This window comes from Homo sapiens, chromosome 5 (assembly GCF_000001405.40).
Source record: "Homo sapiens chromosome 5, GRCh38.p14 Primary Assembly".
Taxonomy (NCBI): domain Eukaryota; kingdom Metazoa; phylum Chordata; class Mammalia; order Primates; family Hominidae; genus Homo; species Homo sapiens.
This window is the reverse complement of record NC_000005.10, coordinates 34,869,913-34,893,248: the sequence shown is the minus strand read 5'-3', so window position 1 is coordinate 34,893,248 and position 23,336 is coordinate 34,869,913. Positions and strand designations below refer to the sequence as shown.

General features: G+C 37.7%; 1 protein-coding gene and 1 pseudogene across 19 annotated transcripts in view; both read right to left on the bottom strand.

Annotated features, from left to right (window-relative positions):
• The window catches only part of TTC23L (tetratricopeptide repeat domain 23 like), an 86,519-nt gene that overhangs the window by 32,434 nt on the left and 30,749 nt on the right, over nt 1–23,336 (bottom strand). For 9 of the 19 annotated variants that reach the window (NM_001386170.1, XM_047416824.1, XM_017009120.3 and 6 more), the window contains 2 exons: nt 12,941–13,068; nt 4,712–4,794 (listed from right to left, as the gene is read on the bottom strand). In NM_001386170.1, the coding sequence (NP_001373099.1) occupies nt 4,712–4,794; nt 12,941–13,068 (211 nt within the window). Of the gene's footprint in view, nt 1–4,711; nt 4,795–11,643; nt 11,829–12,940; nt 13,069–22,214; nt 22,784–23,336 lie in introns of those variants that run through there. The other 10 variants (NR_169875.1, NR_169874.1, NR_169876.1 and 7 more) reach the window with 3 other exon arrangements.
• Nucleotides 9,730–10,172, bottom strand: RPL21P54 (ribosomal protein L21 pseudogene 54; annotated as a pseudogene).

The following is a 23,336-nucleotide window of genomic DNA, read 5'->3' as shown; positions in this document are numbered from 1 at the left end:
ATTCACCCAGTTGCCCAAGCTAGAAACTTCAAAGTTACCTTTGATTCCTGCCTCTATTAAACCTCACATCTGACTGGTCCCACGGTCTGTCAATACAGACTCCATATAGCTTCTCGATCTGTCCTCTACACGTTCTTCCTACTACGGCTTTAGATAATTAAGGGTCTAAACATCTCTCCCTTGGACTATCAGATCTACCTCCTAACTGCTCTCCCCACTTCTCCCTAGGTACCATCTATCCTTCTCATTGCTGTCAGAGTTAATGTTTTAAAGCTAATAATTGATCATGTCATATCTACCCAAAACTCTTTGATGGTTGCTTTCTGTCTACTAAATAAATCCCAAATGCCTTAGCGCAGTACATAAAAATTCCATAATCTCACCCCAGTCTGTCTTTCCAAACTCATGTCCAGCACGTCCCTCCTTAGGTACCTTAAACTACAACCACTCGAGGCCACTTGCTTTTCCTCAGCAATATCGGGTATCTACGCCACTATGCTTCTGTTCATGCAACTTGGAATACTCTCCTCTAGCTTCTTGTCTACCTGCTAATGGCTACTTTTCTTCGAAGAACCTGCAACCCATCCCCCAACCTACGCAGAGTTTCCACCCACATTTCTAACCTCATGATTTATTACTTGCCCTTTTCCTTTACATTTCTACTAAAGACTTACTACAGACTAACTTGTAATCTGGTCATACATGTCTGTTTTCACGTAAGGGACTATATCTTAAACATACTAGTATTTCTAGTGCTTAAATGAGCTAGAAATGTACAAAAGAAGTACATTTTACATTTAGGTAAAAGTTAGACTAACCAACCTGAAAGTTTAAATCTGAGATTTTTGTATGCCCTTTCTGTACACCAAAATTTTATTTGAGGCCCTTGCAACTATCATTTAACCTTGAAATTAACTCTGATTTCAAGGAGCCATTTCTACTTTAGCTTTTTTGCAGAGGCTTCAAAAGCCAAGAATTCGGGCTCCTAGCAATGAAAGTCCAGTGAGTGTAGTCAACGAGTTTCCGGAAGAGGTGAGGTAAGAAGCAGGAGAGTACATCGGAAAACTAGCAGAGTTCCAGGACATCTGGGATTGATTACTCCAGCAAGATGCTGAAGTTTGCAAAGAGACAGCAATCGTTGTACCAGGTTTTGACATCTGGCTTTGGCAGTTACCCCCATGGTTTTGCTCAGCAGTTCTTGAGGAATGAGATATGGGCTTGTTTCAGGGAAAGAAAAACCTTCTGCCACAGCAAAGTCCTTAAAAGACTCTTCTTTTCCCCTTATATGGACTTTCTTGGTAGGTTTGGTTTCGTTGTAATTTACAGAAAGAAAAATTAATTTCCAAGTACCTAAAGAAACTCATACCACCTAAGGTCTGAATTAGATCTCCTAATTTTTCCTCCTTCTATGAATCTTTTCAGATCACCTAAAAGACACAGTAAATACTGGAAGGCAAAGCAACCTCAGGCTACCGAAGAATTAGATTCATTCCAGATATTCTGAAGTGTCTATTTTTAAATACAAGCTGAGTAGAACTTCTGTTCAGTTTTGAGGAAACATCATGCATTTTTTCTCTGAAATTATACATTTTGTTCTTTTAGTTTCATTATTATTACCTTCAGAGCACAAAATATACTTTAGATATGTTCAAAGATTCAAAATCTCAAAACTAACCTATGGTAATAGTGGCTAACAATCATCTCTGATTTCAAATATTCTGAACTGTTGCCCTGAAAGCAAAAGGCAATCTTCTGTGAAGAAGGGGAAGGAAGGGTGTTTTACGAACACTTATTGAGCGCATACTCTGCCAGGCACTGTACTATGCATGTTATAGACATGATTTTATTTAAAACTCACAACAACTCTCTGTGGTTTACTATGATCTGGATGTTAGCAATGGAAAACAAGGTTCAAGGAGGTTAAGTCATTTGCCCAAGGTCACATACTTTGTGAGTGGAAAAGGCAGGTTAAGATCACAGGTCAGACTCCAGTAATGTATACTCTGTACCTATTACTCTTAATATAAAACAATAATACGGTGATACAAAGAAGCCTCTTATTTTAACATTCTGACATATTATCTCTTGTACTTCAGATAGAGAATTGTTATTATTACTATTTTGTTATTAAGATCTCAACATTCATTGGGCATTTAAGACCTGCTAAGACCTTCCAGGCCCTGATCTAAGTCTTGTATTATTTATCATCTCATTAACTTTCAGAAAACGTACTTTTTGAGGAAAGTACTAATATTTTACTGATGAATAAACAGAGGCTGAGGGAGTTAAGTCACTTCACCTAGGTCAGAGAGCTGAGTGATGGAGCCTGAGTTTTAAATCCAGGCAATCCTGGGTGCAGTGGCAGATGCCTATAATCCCAGCTACTTGGGAGGCAGAAGCAAGAAGACCGGCCACAGAAGTTTGGACCAGCCCGGGCAACACAGAAAGACCTCATCTTTTAAAAAAAACTCCAGGCAGTCTGTCTTCAGATTGTAAGCTACACTTCCTGGAGTACAGATCCTGGAGTCAGAGAGACCCAGATTAAAATTCTACCTTTGTCTCTTCCTGGGTGAGTTAACTTCAGTAAATCATAAAACTTCAGTTTTCCCACATGTAAAATGGGTTCTGGAGCCTTGCCTGCTGAACAGGTATCCTCATACGTATACTCAAATTCATCAAAGTCAGAATCTGTATTACATTAGTGAAATGGCATTTTTGAAATCTGATCAACCCGGATTCAAATCTTACATTTACCAGCTATCTTATGAACAAAATACCCAACCTTTTTTTTTTTTTTTTTTTTTTTTGAGACAGGGTCTCAGTCTGTTACCTAGGCTGGAGTGCAGTGGTGCAATCGCGGCTCACTGCAGCCTTGACCTGGCCTCAAGTTATCCTTCCACCTCAGCCTCCCAAGTAGCTGGGACCACAGGCACATGCCACCACACCTGGCTAATTTTTATATTTTTTGTAGCGATGGCGCTTCACCATGTTGCCCAGGCTGGTCTTGAACTCCTGAGCTCAAGTGATCCACCAGCCTCAGCCTCCCAAAGTGCTGGGATTACAGGTGTGAGCCATCATGCCCAGCCAAGATACCCAAACTTTCTGAGCTTCAGTTTCATCACCTGAACATGGAAGATAAAAACACTCACCTAGGGAGGCTGAGGCGGGTGGATCACGAGGCCAAGAGATCAAGACCATCCTGGCCAACATGGGGAAACCCCGTCTCTACTAAAAATACAAAAATTAGCTGGGCGTGGTGGCATACGCATGTAGTCCCAGCTACTCGGGAGGCTGAGGCAGGAGAATCACTTGAACTCGGGAGGTGGAGGTTGCAGTGAGCCAAGATCGCGCCACTGCACTACAGCCTGGCGACAGAGCAAGACTCTGTCTCAAAAAAACAAAAACAAAAACAAAAAAAAACCCCACCTAATAATGTGGTTTATAAATCAGAAAAAGTATATCTAAATGTATAATACAGTGCCAAGGAAATGGAAAAACTTCTACATTATAGTTATTAATATTTTTACAGTTACTGATTAAGAAAACATGCTTTCATATACACCAACAGGCAGGGAGCAAAGTTCCCCATTTTGTCCTGTGGCTGATCCTCTGTATCCTTGTAACACAGGAATTATTGACAGAGGCTGGAGAACATCCTCCTCTGGGTAATGATAAAACAGGAGATAGTCTCCTGTGGGGCCCACCTCAGGTGTGGCTCTGACTGAAGGGGGTGTGGATAGGAGGGCTCAATGTATTCTCCATGGCATGATCTTCCCCACCTGTCTAGCATAGTGAACCTGTTGAGAAGGGGACCAATTATCAGCCACCGCTGGTGAACACATTCAGGGTCCTAACTCTCAGCAGCAATGCACCTCTGTTAGAGGGCTCTCAGGGAAAAACACATGGCCTTTAGAGTCACACTTATTTGAGTCCAAATCTCCAAGACTGAGTGAATTTAGGCAAATTCCATTATAAAACATCAAGCTCCCTTCTGTTAAATGAGAGCTATCACACCGGGTATTTGTGAGGATTACATTAAATACTTTATGAATAGGACCTAGCTCAGTTTTATGAATTTGGTATAAATTCAACAAGTTTTTGTTCTCTTCCCTCTTAGAAGAGAACAGTTCGAGGTCAATACTATTCTGAGACAAACAAATGTCAATGATAAGCGTCATTGATAACGTCAAGGTTAAAGACTGAGACAAGTCTATACAAAACTCTCTTTGACTTAAATTCTAAACATTTAAAAAAAGAATCTGAAGAGGTTCTGTCATTATTAACTTTGGAGACAACTGTATCCTAAAAAAACTTGCCTTATGTTTAGGGACCTAGACTTTGTATGTTCAGCAAGAAAAATTATTTTAAGGTACTCATTTACTTTCTCTGAATCCATATCATAACTATCACACTGTGATCAACAACAACCTTGTCTTGCGGGGCTTTTCTATAATGCTCAGCATTGAAAGGGATATTATAAATACTAAATATTACTGCAGCAGACCCTATTAATACTGGGTTCTATGAGACTGTAAGAAATCAACTAATTTCCCCAAGTATAGGATTTGGTCAAATTCATACACAGGTAGGATTTTGCCTTACTAGCAAGACTGATAGAAGTGAATCACCCCTACCTGGTTGAACTGGGAGAGGCCATGCCATGCATATATCCACATTGATGACATGGCTGATGGCCAGGGCCAGAACTCACCTCTGCCACAGGGTAAGGAGGCTCTTTGTCTCCCTACTTCTACTGTGTTCACCTCCATATACAAAGATTTGAATCATCAGACACTAGGTGAGGTGAGAAACAACAGGTTAAAGAGAATCAGATAGCAAGCACCTTAACTGCAAACCAAACTCAGGAAAGGACCAGCGGAACTGAGATCTTGTCACAAGTTTACATTTCAAACACCTGCACTACATTTCATTTGTTTCCTAAGCTGATAACAAAGATGTAGCCCCTACCTAGGCTTATGGCATCCTAAATCTGCAAGTTGAATCCCTATTACAAATGGAGGATGTAGCCATGCTGTCTTAGTCCATTTCGTGTCAGGTGAGGGCCCACTTCCTGATTCATTGACAGCCATCTTCTTTCTGTAAACTCACATGGTGGAAGGGGCAAGGAGGCTCTTTGAGGTCTCTTTTAAAAGGGCACTAATCCCATTCATGAAGGCTCCACCTTGAGTCCTAGTCACCTTCTAAAGGTCCCATCTCCAAACACCACCACATCGAAGATTAGGTTTCAACATATGAATTTTGAAGGGACACAAGCATTCCATCTACTGCACATGCCAACAAAAATTTATTGCCAGGTAAAAATCTAAATGAGCCTCTCCTTACACTGACTTTGTGTGAAACATGGTAAATCCTTACAATGTATATGCTATGGTCTTTTTTTATTTCAGAACATTTGTCTTCAATGATATCACTGATTACAGCTTCTATTCCAATCATAATTTCTTCAGAAATACATACAATTATTTGGCTGAATCTCTACTTTGTCCTGCATACCAACTACTTTCTCATGAGACCCCTCTCTTCTTTCACTCTGCGTTCTAAGAGAGCTTTTTAAGTTTATCAATCTTGATTCTTAAAATTGGCAGGATATTAAAACTGCCTCACGAACTATTAAAAAAACAGATTCTGTACACAATTCTTAAAACTTCTAATTCAGATGGTCTGGGGTGAGACTCAGGAATTTGTTTTTTGCTTGTTTTGTTTTGTTTCCTACTGTGTTGCAATTCTAGATTTGAGAAACAATACTCCAGTATCACTCCATGTTAAGAGTCTTCATTATTTTCAGTGTGGATTTGAATTTTATTAGACTTGTTTCCCTGGAACCCCTGCTCATTTCACTCATCATTTTCCATTTCATCTCATTTCTTATCCTCAGATTGTCATCTTTTCATTTCAAAGTTTTCTCTCCTTTCAGGCTTCTGCCCCCATTACCCAGATGTCATCCGCGTGTTCATGCTTCCCTGGAAAAGCTATTCTGGCTCCTATAACTTACATTCAGGGGGCTTTTTCTCTGAATCTTCAAAATGAGTTCCTCTTTCTTCTGTTATTTACTATTTTCTGATCACATTAGGTTACCCTGAAATCAGATGAAACTCCCTGCGAACCTGATGTAGACTGCTTCTGACTCCACCCTCTGCTCATTTGAGTATTACTTGATCTTTACCAACTTTTCCTCTGACTTTGAATAAACTTAGGTTTTATGTAGAGACATCCCCACCTATTTTACTAAGCCTTTAGATTCATTCTGTCAGTACACTGACTGGTTGAACACCTCTTGCCACACCCCACTGCAAGGGAATGAGCTCTCTGGAAGGGAAATGAGTACTTGGGTATGGATGGTTAAACAAGGTATTACTAATTCCACTCAACCTTGAAGTGCTTTCAAGAGATGCTGCCACTATCATACTTGGATTTCAAGATTAGGGTGTTACTCTTTTAAGACCCTTGTCCAGATAGGGACTCAACTAAAGTTTTTGTATCATATTCTCCCTCAGCATATCTAACAAAGCAGACAATTTTCAAAAGATAACACATCACTTAAAAAGAGAAAAGGAGAGATGGAATGAAATGGAAGGGAAGGGAAAATACATATATACATGCATACATATGTACATACATCCCTCCTCACATCCTGCTTACAAGCCCAGGGGAAAATGTAACGAAACCAGCCAAAAGTCGCCTTCCTCAGCAGCTGAATTGCCTTTCTGGGCTCTCCTTTGGCAAAGCAGATCCTGCCCGTATTATGAAAAGTTTCAGCCACATTTTTGCTATAGTCACTGTAGCTGAATACCTGGGACTTTAATGAAGCCTTTAGCAGTCTGTAAGCCTCCTGAGGGATAAAACGTTTTTTTTTTTTTTTTTTTTAAATCAGCCTGGCAATTCCGAAGGAGCATGCTGGTTCTGTTCCCTGAGCTCTATGGAGAAGGCATTGTACCCAACAATGACATAACCCACCAGGATCAGTCCGTTGTGATGTGTCACCTAAGTAATTTGTATTAAGAATTAAAGTTCCAAGCTTGTAATTAATAATAGTTAATTCATATAATACTATTTAATCTTCATGGCTGCCCTACAAGAGAGGAACTGTTATTATACTCATTTTACAGATGAAGGAATGGAAACTAATAACAGCTAAGGATCTTGCCCCAGATCATAGAGCCTATGATTAGCAGTGTCAGAATTCCAACACCAGGCAGTCTGAATTCCACAGCCCTCACTCTTTTTGTTCACCTATTTTTTATTTTAATTTTTTTCAAACCTTCAGAAAAGCTAAAAGAATAGTAAAATAAATACCCATACAATTTTCGCCTAGATTCACACATTGCTACAATTTTGCCACGTTTGCTTTATTTTTCTCTTCTTAAAAAGTAATGTCTCTCTCTATATATAAATATACATGCATACACACACATATTTTTGTTGAAAATAAGTTGTAGGTAATCAAGATACTTTACTCCTAAATGGTTTCTTTCTTTTTTTTTTAGACAGGGCCTCACTCTGTTGCTCAGGCTGGCGTGCAGGGGTGTGATCAGGGCTCATGTAGCCTTGACCTCCCAGGCTCAAATGATCCTCTACGTCAGCCTCTAAAGTAGCTGGGACTATAGTTGTGCACTACTCTGCTCAGCTTATTTATTTATTTATTTATTGTAGAAATGGGGTCCCACTATGTTTCCCAGGTTGGTCATGAACTCCTGGGCTCAAGTGATCCTCCTGCCTTGGCCTCCCAAATTACTGGAATTACAGACAGGCATGAGCCATCGCATATGGCCACCACTAAATACTTAAGCATGTGTCTTCTTAGAACAAGAACATTTTCCTACATATCTACAATAACATTATCATTCAAGAAATCTTACATCAATACAACAGCGTTTCCTGATACAAGCTCCATGTTCAAATTTCCCAATTGTTCCAGTAATGTTCTTTACACCTCCTTAAAATCTAGCATCTAATCATCATGTATTGCATTTAGTTTTCATGATTCTTTAATCTGTTACAGTTCTCCTGCCCTTTTGGTCTTTCATAACATTGACATTTTTAAAAGGTCTAGGCTAATTGTCTTTCAGCAAAGCTCTCACTGTTAACTACTTACTATACAGCAAAAATAAATTAAGTATGCACTGGAAATTATTCATAGGACAAAGGTGCTTGTACTCATTTGCCTTCCCAATGTGCTTTCTTTAGGGAAGGTGAAGAGGTATTATTGCTGGCTCCCTCAAGAACTGTACATCACCCACTCACTGCCTGAATTATCTATGTTGACAGATGTAACAGACATTTCTTCATAATTGGGTTGAACATGTAATCATCATCCCTAATGTGGCATGTCAGAACAACAAACATAAAAGGGATGTCAATTGCTGCTTTCCAGAGAACACTGCCAATAAATCAGGAATCTCAAGGCTACTACTGTAATATTTTTGCATTTTTTAGAGTAGGAAAGCATGCATATAATTTGTTATTTTCCTATTTATTTTTTTCAGTGTATAAGTCTTTCACCTCCTTGGTTTATTCCTAAGTATTTTATTCTTTTTGATGCTATTGTAAATGGGATTGTTTTCTTACTTTTTTTTTCAAATTGTTCAACGTTAGCATATAAAAATACAACTGATTTTTGTATGCTGATTTTGTTTCCTATAATTTAGTTGAGTTTATTAGTTCAAACAGGTTGTGTGTGTGTGTTTGTGTGTGTGTGTGTGTGTGTATGTGATCATTAGGGTTTTCTACATAACATCATGTCATTCTGCAAACAGAAATAATTCTACTTCTGTTCATATTTGGATGTTTTTTATTTATCTTTCCTGCCTAACTGCTCTGGCTAGTACTTCCAGTACTATGTTGAATAGAGGTGGCAAAAGTGGGCATCCTTCTTTTGTTCCTGATCTTAAAGGAAAAGCTTTCAGTTTTTCACCATTAAGTATGGTATTAGCTGTAGGCTTTGCATATATGTATGGCCTTTATTATGTTGAGGTAATTTCCTTCTATTCCTTCTTTGTTGGCAGTTTTTCTTTTTAATCATGAAAAGGTATTGAATTTTGTCCAATGCTTTTTCTGCATCTCAGAGTATCATCTGACTTTTATCCTTCATTCTGTTAAGGTGGTGTATCTCATTGATTGATTTTTGTATGCCAAACCATTCTTACATCCCAGGGATAAATCCCACTTGGTGATGGTGCATGACTCTTTTAATGTGCTGTTAAATTTAGTTTGCTAGTGTTTTGTTGAGAATTTTTGCATCTATATGCATTCAGGGATATTGACCTGTAGTGTTCTTGTAGTGTCTTTTTATGGCTTTGATGTCAGAGTAATGCTGGCCTCATAAAAAGAGTTTGAAAGTGTGTCCTCCTCTTCCAGAAAATGGAAGAGTTTGAAAAGAATTAGCAATATTAATTCTTCTTTAAATGTTTGGTAGAATTCACCAATGAAGCCATCTGGTCCTGGGCTTTTATTTGTAAGAAGGTTTTTGATTACTGATTAAATGTCTACTTAGATTTTCTATTTCTTCATGATTCAGTCTTGGTAGGTAATATGTTTCTAGAATTTTATCCTTTTCTTTTAGGTTATCCAATTTGTTGACATATAATTATTCATAGTAGTCTCTTATATTCCTTTTAATTGTTGTGGCATCAGCTTAATGTCTCTTCTTTCATTTCTGATTTTATTTATTTTAGTCTTCTCTCTTTTCCTTTGAGTGAATCTAGCTATTCAGGGAACAGGTTCCAGCAGCTCAGGCTCTTTCCCATTAGTTCTCACAAAGTGTGCTTCCCTGGATGAAGTAGGTTGGCATTTCAGTTGAACCCAGGGAACTATCTCTTTGACTTCCTTTTTTTTCTAACCATTTTCTTTCAGAAGTTTCATGAGGCCATCCCAGCTCTTAGAGTGCTGAATATGCACCAAACACATATTTATTCTGTTGGCAAGAATCTTGTCAAAAATCTTGGGTTGACAACACCAACAGCTTGCTGGATAACAATGTAGGCTCTCTCAGTCTTGCCATGGTAACACTTGTGGGGTATTCCCTTTTGGACAATGCCTATTCCCTTGATTTCCACAGTATCACCTTTCTTATAGATTTGCATGTATGTGACCAGAGGAACATCTTCATGTTTTCTAAAAGCCCTAGAGAACATGTAAGGGGTGCCTCTCTTCTTTTCTCTGTTTTGTTTGTTTGTTTGTTTCTGGTTTGTTTTTTGAGACAGGGTCTCTGTCACCCAAGCTGGAGTGCAGTGGCATGATCACAGCTCACTGCAGCCTCAACCTCCCAGGCTCAAGTGATCTTCCTGCCTCAGTCTCCCATGTAGCTGGGACCACAGGCATGCACCACTGCACCTGGCTAATTCTTTAATTTTTTTACAGATGAGGGTCTCACTTTGTTGCCCAGGCTGGTCTCAAACCCCTAGGCTCAAGCAATCCTCCTGCCTCGGCCTCGCAAAGTGCTGGGATTACAGGTGTGAGTCTCCATACCCAGCCGTGATTGTCATTTTGATGAATTACTGGAAGAAGGTGGTTCCAGATGAATGAGTTTTATTTTTTATCCATGGCAGATTAAACTACTTATCAAAAGATATTGTGTGTGTGTGTGTGTGTGTGTGTGTGTGTGTGTGTGTGTAGTCCATGGGAACAATTCCCAAGTCTTGTGAGTTTCTGTTATGGTCCTCTAGGACAGGCCTAGAGCCTCACATGAAGCTTGGAGGCAGGAGAACGAGCTACTTTTAAATATGGGAAATGTGTTATAAAATTCAGCAGTTTCATTCAAAAGTTATCAGGCATCTTCTATGTGCCAGTTAGTGTTTCAGGCAGTGAGGACACTGCAGTGAACAAAACAAACAAAAATTCCTGCCCTCATGGCACTTGCTTCCTAATGGTAAAGCTGACTTGTCCATAGTCCGTCCTGCTTATGGTTTAGATTTGGAGCCACCTGGCACTCAGGTCCTTTGGTGGCTTTGTCCAGGAGCTTGGTATACTAGAAAGTACTTGGTTAGAAGTGGAGGATTATCAGGCATTGGTACTGGTGGTGGTACTGGTGGTTTGTCACAACCAAGGTCATGGTATTCACTGCACCAGAATATAACAAGGATAAGGTATTAAATTCTGGTAACGTATTTTCACATCTTTGAAAAGAAAGTTATTAGATCAACCCATGGCATTGGGATCTCATGTTAATCTTCTGAACCGGCCGGGTGCTGTGGCTCACGCCTCTAATCTTAGCACTTTGGGAGGCCGAGGCGGGCGGTCACTTGAGGTGGGAGTTCGAGACCAGCCTGACCAACAGGATTAAACCCCGTTTCTACAAAAATTAGCCGGGTGTAGTGGTGGGCGCCTGTAATCCCAGCTGTTCCGGGAGGCTGAGGCACAAAAATCGCTTGAACTTGGGAGGCAGAGGTTGCAGTGAGCTGAGATCATGCCACTGCATTCCAGCCTGGGCAACAGAGTGACTCTGTCTCAAAAAAAAAAAAAAAACAGTCTTCTAAACCAACAGAAAATATCATGGCCACAGAAAAAAGGTTGCAAATCATTATAAGGTTTTTGTCTTTACAAATGGCAATTAAAATTGAAATAAAGAAAACGTCATCATTTATAAAAAATGTTTAGATATGATATAAAAAAAACTGTTCTTCATTCCTGGAAATAAATTTTTACTTATTATGTGCCTGTAACTCTACTCTTAAACTGGTTTTTACATGGCCAATAAGACCATGTCAAATCTATCCATATTTCTCACTCTTCTGAGGAAGTATAAAGTTGGCTTGGTCAGATCAAAGTCATGTGGGATCTTATGACAGACAAAGGTCTTCACTGTGTTCATGCTGCAGTGAATATATAAAGTTCAAGTCAAAAGGTTTTGAATGATAGCTTAGACTCATGGGACTTCTAAGTAAAAAGGTCAGCAATAACAATTATTCTCTATAACTTTTTAAATGTGAAAACAAGATTGTGGCTAATAAAAACCTATCAGATCAAGAGAAAACCACTACTGCAAAAGAAAAGAACTAGTAGCTAGATCCGAAGATGGAAGCCAATTTTGACTTAAAATATTAAATTTACAATGCCAGAGATCATGTGTGCTGGATTTGAAGGATCTCATGTATCAAGATACAAGAAAAATATTTTTTTACTAATATTCCAAGCCACCTAAGCCCTGTGTATTATTCCTAGTTTTATTCTTATTTTTTTCTCCAAACAAGACAGGCTTTATTTAGATCACCAAAAATAACATTTTACAGAAAGGGAACCATAACATTACACAACAAAGTATAGCTGTAAAATTTCAAACAAGAAAGGCAATGCTGGTGGGGCACAGTGGCTCACTCCTGTAATCCCAGCACTGTGGGAGGCCAAGGCAGGTGGATCACCTGAGGTCAGGAGTTCAAGACCAGACTGGTCAACATGGAGAAACCCCATCTCTACTAAAAATACAAAAATTAGCTGGGCATGGTGGCGCATGCCTGTAATCCCAGCTACTTGGGAGGCTGAGGCAGGCAAATCTCTTGAACCCAAGAGGCGGAGGTTGCAGTGAGCCGAGATCGCCCCACTGCACTACAGCCTGGGTGACAGAGACCCTGTCTCAAAAAAAAAAAAAAAGTTTGTCAGAGAGGGAACCGTTAGAAGCAAACATATGGCTGCCAATTTTCTTTTGCCATCAATATCGAGTCCCTCTAAAATACTTTGAGCCTACTCTGCAGTTTCCAAGTACAAACTAAATCTTGTCGGACAGAGTTGCTCAGTTTCATCAAAAGAATGAAACCAATCTGAAAAAAAAATAATTCGGTTAATGCTAGCAAAGAATGAAACAATGTGGTTCTTGCCTAGTTTTATCTGGGACCTATCTGATCTCCAGTATCTGAATTGTAAGATGAAAAATGCTATTGTGATCTAATAAACAAACTAGCAATTCTGTTTATGCATTGATCATATTTACCTGTTTTTCTCCATTTTGGACAAGCCATTTGCAAAATTCTTCAGTGGTGCTCAGTGTTTCAAAATCCTCTGAGCCCAATGTTGCTCGATATGCATTGATACTTCTTATGAAATATATCTCAACAGCATCTGGAAAAATTGAAACAATTATTTAAGGCAAGCTGCTAACCTTTACAAATGTCTAATATCAGCTTTGGCTCAATTGACATTTTCATGCTTAAAGTCCATGCTTGTTCTCAAGCCAGGTCTCATAAGGACTCTTTAAAAGTCTAAGATGTGTGGTTTTTTTGCTGTTGTTGTTTTCTTTTGTTTTTTGAGATAGAGTATCACTCTGTTGCCAGGCTGGGGTGCAGCGGTGCAACCTCGGCTCACTGCAACCTCTGCCTCCTGGGTTCAAGTGATTCTCCTGTCTCAGCCACCCGAGTAGCTGGAACTACACGTGTGCGCCACCATGCCCGGCTAATTTTTGTATTTTTAGTAGAGATGGGGTTTCACCATGTTGGCCAGGACGGTCTCAATCTCTTGACCTCGTGATCCGCCCACCTCGGCCTCCCAAAGTGCTGGGATCACAGGCATGAGCCACCGCACCGAGCCCTAAAATGTGATTTAATGACATCAGATGATGTTTTGGTTTTTATTCTCCTTATAAAATCCATGGAATTTTTTGTAGCAAAAAAGAAAGCTTCTGTCTGAATAATCTTATTATGCTAATACTACAAATAACTACCATATTAAACTCCCAGGTATACTGCAAGACTATATTTTTAGCTAAATAAAACTCTGATAGTAATGTTTACTAAGGTTCCTGTTTGGGGGGTGCTGGGAGGGAGTAAGTTGTGATTTTATAAGTATTTTAAATATATAGTTGTTATGGCTTGAAAATTTAATTTTAATGTTGTGTCTTTCCAAACATAATACGTTTATATCAATCTAGAAAATACACAGAAACAATGGGAAAATTTTGCCAATACCATACTTTTCTTGTGTGTAAACTTATGGAGTACAAGTGCAATTCTGTTACATGTATAAATTGCATAGTAGTCACAGCTTTTAGAGTATCCATAACCCAAATAACATACATTGTACTCATTAATTTCTCATCATCCACCCCACATCACACCCTTATGAGTCTCCATTATCTAACACTGCACTAAGCCCATGTGCACACATTTGTTAGCACCCATTTATGAGTGAAACCTTGATACTTGACTTTCTGTGTCTGGCTTGTTTCACTTAAGATAATGACTTTCAGTTCCATCCATTTTGCTGCAAAAGACATGATTTCATTCTTTTTTATGACTGAATAGTATTCTATTGTGTATATGTACCACATTTTCTTTATCCAATCATCCACTGCTGAATACTTAGACTGATTCTGTTATCTTTACTATTGTGAATAGTGCTACGATAAACATACAAGTGCAGGAATCTTTTTGATATATACCTTCCTTTTCTTTTGGGTAGATGCCTAATAGTGGGATTCCTGGATCAAATGGTCATTCTATTTTTAGTTATTTGAGAAATCTCCGTACTGTTTTCCATAGAGGTTGTACTGATTTACATTCACACCAACAGTGTATGAGAGTTCCCTTTTCTCTGCACCCTCACCAACATCTGTTTTTGTTTTTTTGTCTTTTTCATAATAGCCACTGTGACTACAGTAAGATGATTTCTCATCTATACTGTCTTCATTGCTGTGGTTTTTTAGTAAGTCTTGAAGTTGGGTAGTGTTAGTCCTCCAACTTTGTTCTTCCATGTTGTTGGTTATTCTGGCCTCTCCATGTAAACTTCAGAATCAATTTGCTAATATCCAAAAAATAACTTGCTGAGATTATTATTGGAATTGAGTTGAATCTATAAATCAAGTTGGAAGAACTTTATATTTTTTTATTGAGTCTTCTTATCCATGAACATGGAATAGATATTAAAGATATCTTAGTTTATTTTAGTTCTTTGATTTCTATTTTTTTCTTTTTGAGATGGGTCTCACTGTGTTGCCCAGGCTGGTCTCAAACTCCTGATCTCAAGCAATTCTCCTAACTCAGCCTCCCAAGTAGCTAGGACTACAGGAACACACCACAATACCTGGCTAGTTCTTTGATTTCTTGCATCAGAGTTTTGTTGTTTTTCTCACATATATTTCACAAATACTTTGCTAGATTTATACCTAATTATTTCATTTCTTGGAGTGCTAATGTAAATGGTATTGTTTTAAATTTTCTTGGAGTGCTAATGTAAATGGTATTGTTTTAAATTTTAAATTTTACTTATTCATTGCTGGTATATAGGAAAGTATTGACTTCTGCATATTAAACTTGTATCCTGAATCTTTTCTATAATCACTTATTAATTCCAGATATTTTTGTTGATTCTTTCAAATTTTCTAATCAGACGATGTCATCTGCAAATAAAAAGTTATATTTCTTCCTTCACAAATATTATAGTATAGTTTTTATTTCCTTTTCTTCTCTTATTCCATTAGCTAGGTCTTCCATTATGATGCTGAAAAGGAGTGGTGAGAGGAAACTGTCTTGTTCCCAGTCTTAGAAAAGCTTCTAGTTTTTCACCATTAAGAATAATGGTGTTGGCTGGGCACAGTGGATCACACCTGTTATCCCAGCACTTTGGGAGGCCGAGGTGGGTGGATCACCTGAAGTCAGGAGTTCGAGACCAGCCTGGCCAACATGGTGAAACCCCGTCTCTACTAAAAATACAAAAATTAGCCAGGCATGGTGGCAGGTGCCTGTAATCCCAGCTACTCAGGAGGCTGAGGCAGGAGAATCACTTGAGCCCAGAAGGCAGAGATTGCAGTGAGCTGAGATCACACCGTTGTACTCCAGCCTGAGCAACAAAAGCGAAACTCTGTCTCAAAAAAAGAAAAAAGAAAGAAAGAAAGAAAAAAGAATAATAGTGTTAGTCAAAGGAGAACCAAAAAAAAAAAAAAAAAAGAACAATGGTGTTAGCTGCAGGTTTTTTGTAGATGTGACTTATCAGGCTGAGGAAATCCCCCTGTATTCCTAGTTTGCTGAGAGTTTTTAATCATAAATGAGTGTTGGATTCTCCCAAATGCTCTTTCTGCATCTATTGATATGATTATGTGATTTTTCTTCTTTAGCCTGTTGGTGTGATGCATTGATTGAGTCTCAAATACTGGACTGGCCTTGCATACCTGCGATAAATCCCATTTGGCTGTAGTGTATAATTCTTTTTGTACATTGATGGATTCAACTTGCTGATGTTTTGTTAAGGATTTTTGCCTCTATGTTCATGAGATGTATTGATCTGCAGTTTTGTTTTTTTTTAAATCTTGATAATTTTTTTTTATTATACTTTAAGTTCTGGGGTACATGTGCAGAATGTGCAGGTTTGTTACTAGGTATACACATGCCTTGGTGGTTTGCTGCACCCATCAACCCGTCGTCTACATTAGGTGTTTCTCCTGACACTATCCCTCCCCCAGCCCCCCAGCCCCCGACAGGCCCTGATGTGTGATGTTCCCCTCCCTGTGTCCATGTGATCTCACTGATCTATAGTTTTCTTTTAATATCTTTGTCTAATTTTGGAATTAGGGTAATGTTGGCTTCATAGATTGACTTAAAAATGGCTACTCTGCTTCTATCTTTTGGAAGAGATTGTCAAGAATTTGTTATATGTTTGGTAGAATTCACTAGTGAACCCACATGGGATGGTTATTAATTATTGATTCAATTTCTTTAATAGAAATGGATCTATTCAAATGGCTTAGTTTTTCTTATGTGAGTTTTGGCAGATTGTATCTTTCATGAAAGATTGACCTATTTCATCTAGGTTATTGAATTTGTGAGCCTAGAGTTTTTCATAATATTCCTTTATTGTCCTATTAATGTCCATTGGATCTGTAGTGATGTCTCCTGTTTCATTTCTCATAATGGTAATTTGTGTCCTGTCTTTTTTCCTTAGCCTGGCTAGAGCTTTATCAATTTCATTAATCTATTCAGAGAATCAGCTTTTGGTTTTGTTTTCTTCATTGACTTGCTGTTTTCAATTTCATTGATTTCTACTGTAATTTTTATTATTTTTTTCTTCTTACTTTGGAATTAATTTGCTCTTCTTTTTCTAGCTTCCTAAGATAGAAACTTAGATTACTGATTTTAGATCTCTTTTCTAATATGCTATAAATATCCCTCTAAGCACTACTTTTGCTGCATCCCACAAATTTTTACATTGTTTTCATTTTCAAAAAAATCTTAATTCAAAACATTTTAAAGTTTCTCTTGAGATTTCTTCTTATCCCACACATTTAGATATGTGTTGTTTAATCTCCAAGTATTTTGGGATTTTCTAGGTATCTTTCTGTTATTGATTTCTAGTTTAATTCCACTGTGGTCTGAGAGCAGACATTGTACATTTTCTTTTAAATTTGTTAGGGTGTGTTTTATGGCCCCGAATGTGGTCTATCATGGTGAATGTTCCATGTGAGCTTGGGAAGAATGTGCATTCTGCTATTGTTTGGATACAGTAGTCAATAGATGTCAATTTTATTAAGTTGATTGATGGTGCTGTTGAATTTGATTATGTCCTTACTGATTTTCTGCCTGTGTATCTGTCCATTTCTGATACACGGGTGTGATGATTAATACTGAGTGTCTTGACTGGACTGAAGGATGCAAAGTATTGATCCTGGGTGTGTCTGCGAGGGTGTTGCCAAAGGAGATTAACATTAGAGACAGTGGGCTGGGAGAGGCAGACCCACCCTTAATCTGGGTGGGTACAATCTAATCAGCTGCCACTGTGGCTAGGATAAAAGCAAGCAGGAGAATGTGAAAAGATTAGACTGGCTTAGCCTCCCAGCCTACATTTTTCTCCTGTGCTGGATGCTTCCTACCCCCAAACATCAGACTTTGGGACTTGGACTGGCTTCCTTGCTCCTCAGCTTGAAGATGGCCTATTGCGGGACTTTGTGATCCTGTGAGTTTAATATTCCTTAATAAACTCCCCTTTATATATATGTATCTATCCTATTAGTTATGTCCCTCTAGAGAACCCTGACTAATACAAGGGGTGTTGAAGAGTACAACTATGATAGTGAATTCATCTATTTCTTCTTACAGTTCCATCAGTTTTTGCCTCAAATATTTTGAAACTCTTGTTAGGCACGTACACATTAAGGATTGTATGTCTTATTGGAGAACTGACCCCTTTATCATATGTAATGCCCCTCTTTGTCCCTGATAACTTTCCTTGCACTAAGTTTGTTCTGGCTGAAACTAGTACGGCTACTCTTGCATTCTTTTGATTAATGTTAGTATAGTGTATTTGTCTCCATCCATTTCCTTTTAATCTATGTGTCTTTATATTTAAAGTGGATTTATTGTAGACAACATATGGTTGGGCGTTGTTTTTTGATCACTCTGAAAATCTTTCTTTACATTGGCTTATTTAGACCACTGATGTTTAAAATAATTGTTAATATAGTTGGATTAACATTTACCATATTGTTACTTTTCTATTTGTTGGTCCTTTTTCTTTGTTCATATTTTTGTCTTTCACTCTTTTCCTACCTTTTGTGGTTTTGCTTTTTAAATTTTATTTATTTATTTTTTTTTTAGAGACAAGATTTCATTCTGTCTCGTAGGCTGGAGTACAATGGTGTGATCATAACTCACAGCAGCCTCAAACTCCTGGGCTCAAGCAAACCCCCCACCTCTGCCTCCTGAGTAGCTGGAGTTACAGGCATGAGCCACTGCACCCAGCTCCTTTTGTTGTTAAATTGAGCATTTCATATATTCCAGTTTCTCTTTTTAGCATATCAGTTACACTTTTTTAAAAAACTCTTTTTAGTAGTTGCCCTGGAGTTTTCAATATACATTTACAATCATTCCAAGTTCACTTACAAATAACACTATATAGTACCTTATAATAACAAAATAATCCTAATCCCTGCCTTCTGCTCCTAATTTGAACAAACTGTTATTTGTTAGATTAAGAATAGGAAAAATGAGTTTTTTATTTTATGATCACATTTCTTCTCCAGTGAGCTTCCTTTCCTTATGTGCCTATGAATTTCTGTATCATTTTCCTTTTCTCTGAAGAACTTCTTTTAATATTTCTTTACGTCAAGTCTGTGGTACTGGTTCCTGTGGAGATAGATTTCTACTTTGGTACATTGTGATTCTCTTTATTTTGCTGTCTCTCCAATTTGTGGGGCACTGGTTTGCCATGTGACCTTAGTTCTCTGTGACAGATCTAAGAGGAGTTAATATTTCATTTTGCTTTTTACTTGTTGTTTGGATAAAGTGATGACTTCCAAACTCCTTATATACCAGACCAGAAACCAGAAGTTTCTGCTCAGATTTTAGTGCTTATTATTTTTAATCTGGATTTCTGGGGTTCACTCCTGTGTCTGCATAGCTTAGTGTTGACCTACTGATTTGGGCAGAGGTTGTGCTTAAATACCTTCAGCCTATACGTCGCCCATCCTGTCAACTGCTCTGTATGTAGACAAAAATGCATTCCAAGCTCTCACACATTTCAAGTCTTCTTTGGTTGTTACTCTTTATTAGGCTTTCAAGTATCCCCTACACATGTATGTAGTTTTGTGGGTATCCAGGGATGTGGGGAGAGCTCATTTAGCCCTTCTGTGGTCTCCCCATTAAAATTTCTGATGCCACTCACACCAACCAGAACAGCAACTTCAGGCTAGTGTCAACATGCAGGCGATCCTCTTTTCATTTCCTCCAGAGTTTGCCCCCTTTATCTGATAAACCTGTGTGTTTTTATCCCTTTCATCATATTAAGTCTGCCTCCAATGCCAGCAAAGCTGCCGGTTCTCCTGTGCGGCCCGTGGTGATAACATTGCAATTCTCATGGACCGACCTGGGGCACTGGATGGAAGCAGCCCCAGGCAGGAGGGCCACTGATTTTCTCTTTACTCAAAGCTCCAGCAGTTTTTTCAAAATAAATGCTTTGCAATTTGTTCTTTTTATCTACTTCCAGCACTATCAAATAGTTATGACCATTTTATACAGTTTGTGTGACTGCATGTATGTGTGGATATGATTTACAGATCTCTTCACAAAGTCATATTCTGTTTACATTTTAATGAAATCTTACTTTGTAGTTTAATGTTTACCTAAATGTAACTATAAACAATAGTATTATTTTGTATGTCCTAAAAATGCAACTGTTTTTCCTTAATACTTTTAAAAAATTAACCTTGATATCTACAGATATAGTCCGGTCCTTTTTTTTTTTTCTTTTCTTTTCTTGAGACGGAGTCTCCCTCTGTCACCCAAGCTGGAGTGCAATGGCGCGATCTCGGCTCATTGCAACTTCCGCCTCCTGGGCTCAAGCAAGTCTCCTGTCTCAGCCTCCTGAGTAGCTGGGATTACAGGCGCATGCCACCAAGCCCGGCTAATTTTTGTATTTTTAGTAGAAACGCGGTTTCACCATGTTGGCCAGGCTGGTCTCAAACTCCTGACCTCAGGCAAAATACCTGCCTCGGCCTCTCAAAGTGCTGGGATTACAGGCGTGAGCCACTCCGCCCAGCCCAAGTCCGGTTCTTTTAACAGCTACAAAATTCCATGTAGTGAATACACCAAAGTTTCCTTTTACTTATTGATATATATATTTGGGTTATTTTTTACAATTATAATCAGTGACACAGTGAACATCTTTATTCATGTTTCCTTTTAAATTTTACTAGATATTATCAAATTAGACTCCAAATTTAATATCAATTTACACTCACTCCTACTAGTTATGAATTTGCCAACTGCTATATATTTTTAAATTTTTAAAATTTTCACATAGGATGGGTGAAATTTTGATCTTGCATTTTTAAAGATACATACCATTTTAAAATGTGTGACATCCTGCCAAATTGCTCTCCAGAGTTTTTATCAAATCTCATCAATCCTGGTGTTATCATTTTTTAAAATTTTGACAATTTGTTAGACAAAAAGAGTAACTTTGCTTTTATTTTTGTAATTACTAGTATGATTTAAACTTATTTTCCACATGAATTTTGGTCTTATTATTTTTAGAGACAGGGTCTTACTGTGTTACCCAGGCTAGAGTGCAGTGGCACGCTTATAGCTCTCTGTAGACTGGAACCCTTAACTCAAGCAATCCTCCTATTTCAGCCTCCTGAGTAGCTAGGACTATAGGCACATGCTACCACACCCAGCTTCTTCTTCTTTTTTTTTTTTTTTGTGGTAGAGATGGGGTCTCACTATGTTGCCCAAGCCAGTATAAAATTCCTGGCTTCAAGTGATCTTCTCACCTTGGCCTCTGTATTTAGTTTGTATCCAGGCCTTGGTACTTTTTTAAAGCCTATTTTTTTCTATGTAAATATAAATTTTAGCTCTTACAGTTAGGACAATGTCCATTATTAATGTCTGTGTATGGCATGAGTAAGAGTCCAATTTTTTTTTGGCATGTGGTATCCAGTTGTTGCAGTATCATTTGTTTTAAAGACTATCCTTTCCATATTGAATTACTTCTGCACATTTATCAAAAATTAATTGGCCATAATTATACAGGTCTATTTCTGTACTACATTGTGTTCCAATAACTCTATCTCTGTTAGAGATATTATTGGTGTCTGATTATAGAGAGATATGTTATTAGTATCTGTCCCTCCACCAATATACCACATTCTCTTGATTACTGCTTTATAGTAAATCTTAAAATCAAGTACTATGATTCCTCCAACTGTATGCTTTTCCAAAACCATTTTAGCTATCCTAATTTCTTTGCTTTTTCACACAAATGTTAGTCAGCTTGTCTATATTTACAAATGCTTCTGTTGGGATTTTGATTATAATTATGTTAAATCTGCAGATCAATCTTGGAAGACTGATATCTTTACTATATTGTCTTCCAATCCATACATAGTATGTGTATTTATTTAGGTCATATTTAATTTCTTTCATCAGTTTTGTAGTTTTCAGCACATAAATACTGTACATATTTTGATAGATTTATACCTAAATATTTCATTTGCAGGGATGGGGCTATTGTGATTTTTTTTAAATTTTTGTTTCCAGTTGTTCATTGCTACTATATAGAACTACAATTAAGTTTTGTGCATTGACCTTGTATCCTGTGACCTTGCTACACTTAAACATATTAGTTCTAGGATTTTTGTAGATTATTTGTCATTTTCTACAGAGACAATCATTTTGACTGCAAATAGGGACCATTTTATTTTTCTTGCCTTCTTGCATTTGCTGGACTTCTAGTACTCTGCTGAATAGGAGCAGTGAGAGTGAACATCCTTGCCTTGTTCTTGATCTTAAGGGGTACTCAGTCTTTCACCACTAAGCATGAAATCAGCTGCAGGGTTTTTGGTATATGCCTTTTATCAGATTAAAGAAGTTCCTTCCATCATGAATGGATGTCGAATATTGTCACATGCTTTTTCTGCAACAACTGATAAAATCATGAGCTTTCCATGACTGGACTGTTAATATGGTAGAGGTAAACTGACTGAGATTTGAATATTAAACCAGTGTGACATCCTTAAGAAAAAACTTCACTTGATCACGGAGGTCTGTGACCATACCACCCTAAACACACTGGATCTCACTTGATCATGGTATGTTATTTATATATTGCTATATATTTTGTTGCTTTTTTCATCTACACACATGAAAGGTCTTGAACTGTAGTCATCTTTTTTCTTGTAATGTCTTTGCCCAGTTTTGATATCAGGGTAATACTGGCCTCATAGAAAGTGTTTTCTCCTCTTCTGTTTTCTGAGACAGATTATGTAGAATTGGTGCTATTCCTTCTTTAGATGCTAGACAGAATTCCCCGGTGAAATCATCTGGGCCTGGAGATTTCTTTCTTAAAAGATAAACTACAAATTTATTAAAAAGAAATAGTTATGGGTCTATTCAGGTTATCTGTTCATCTTGACTACACTGTTTTCACTTTTATTTATGGTACTTTGTGACAGATAGAAACTTTAGACCTTTTTGTAATGAAATCTATCAAACTCTTCTTTTATGGTATGTCTTTGTGTGCTTAGAAAAATTCTTTCCTCCAATTTTTAATTTTAGTATTTGTTTTCCAGTACTGTATTTTCTTCTCATTAATTTACTTTTTTAGTTTTGGTGCATAAAATGTTAATCCACCTGGAATTTAGTGAATGATATAATATAAAAATCTATATTTTTAAAGTTAAAAATTAGTATATAAGAAAATAATGAGGTGGCCTTGAAATCTCTCAACTCTATAAACATAAACGCTTGTTTTTTCTCACTTAAAAAAAAGCTAAAATTTGTACATATTTACAGACTAAATTTCTTGTAACCACAAAGACTACTCTTAAAAAGCTCAAGTTGTATGGAGAATATATACTGTGAATATAGACGAGGAAATCTTAAAAGGAGAAAGAGGATTAGCTGAAA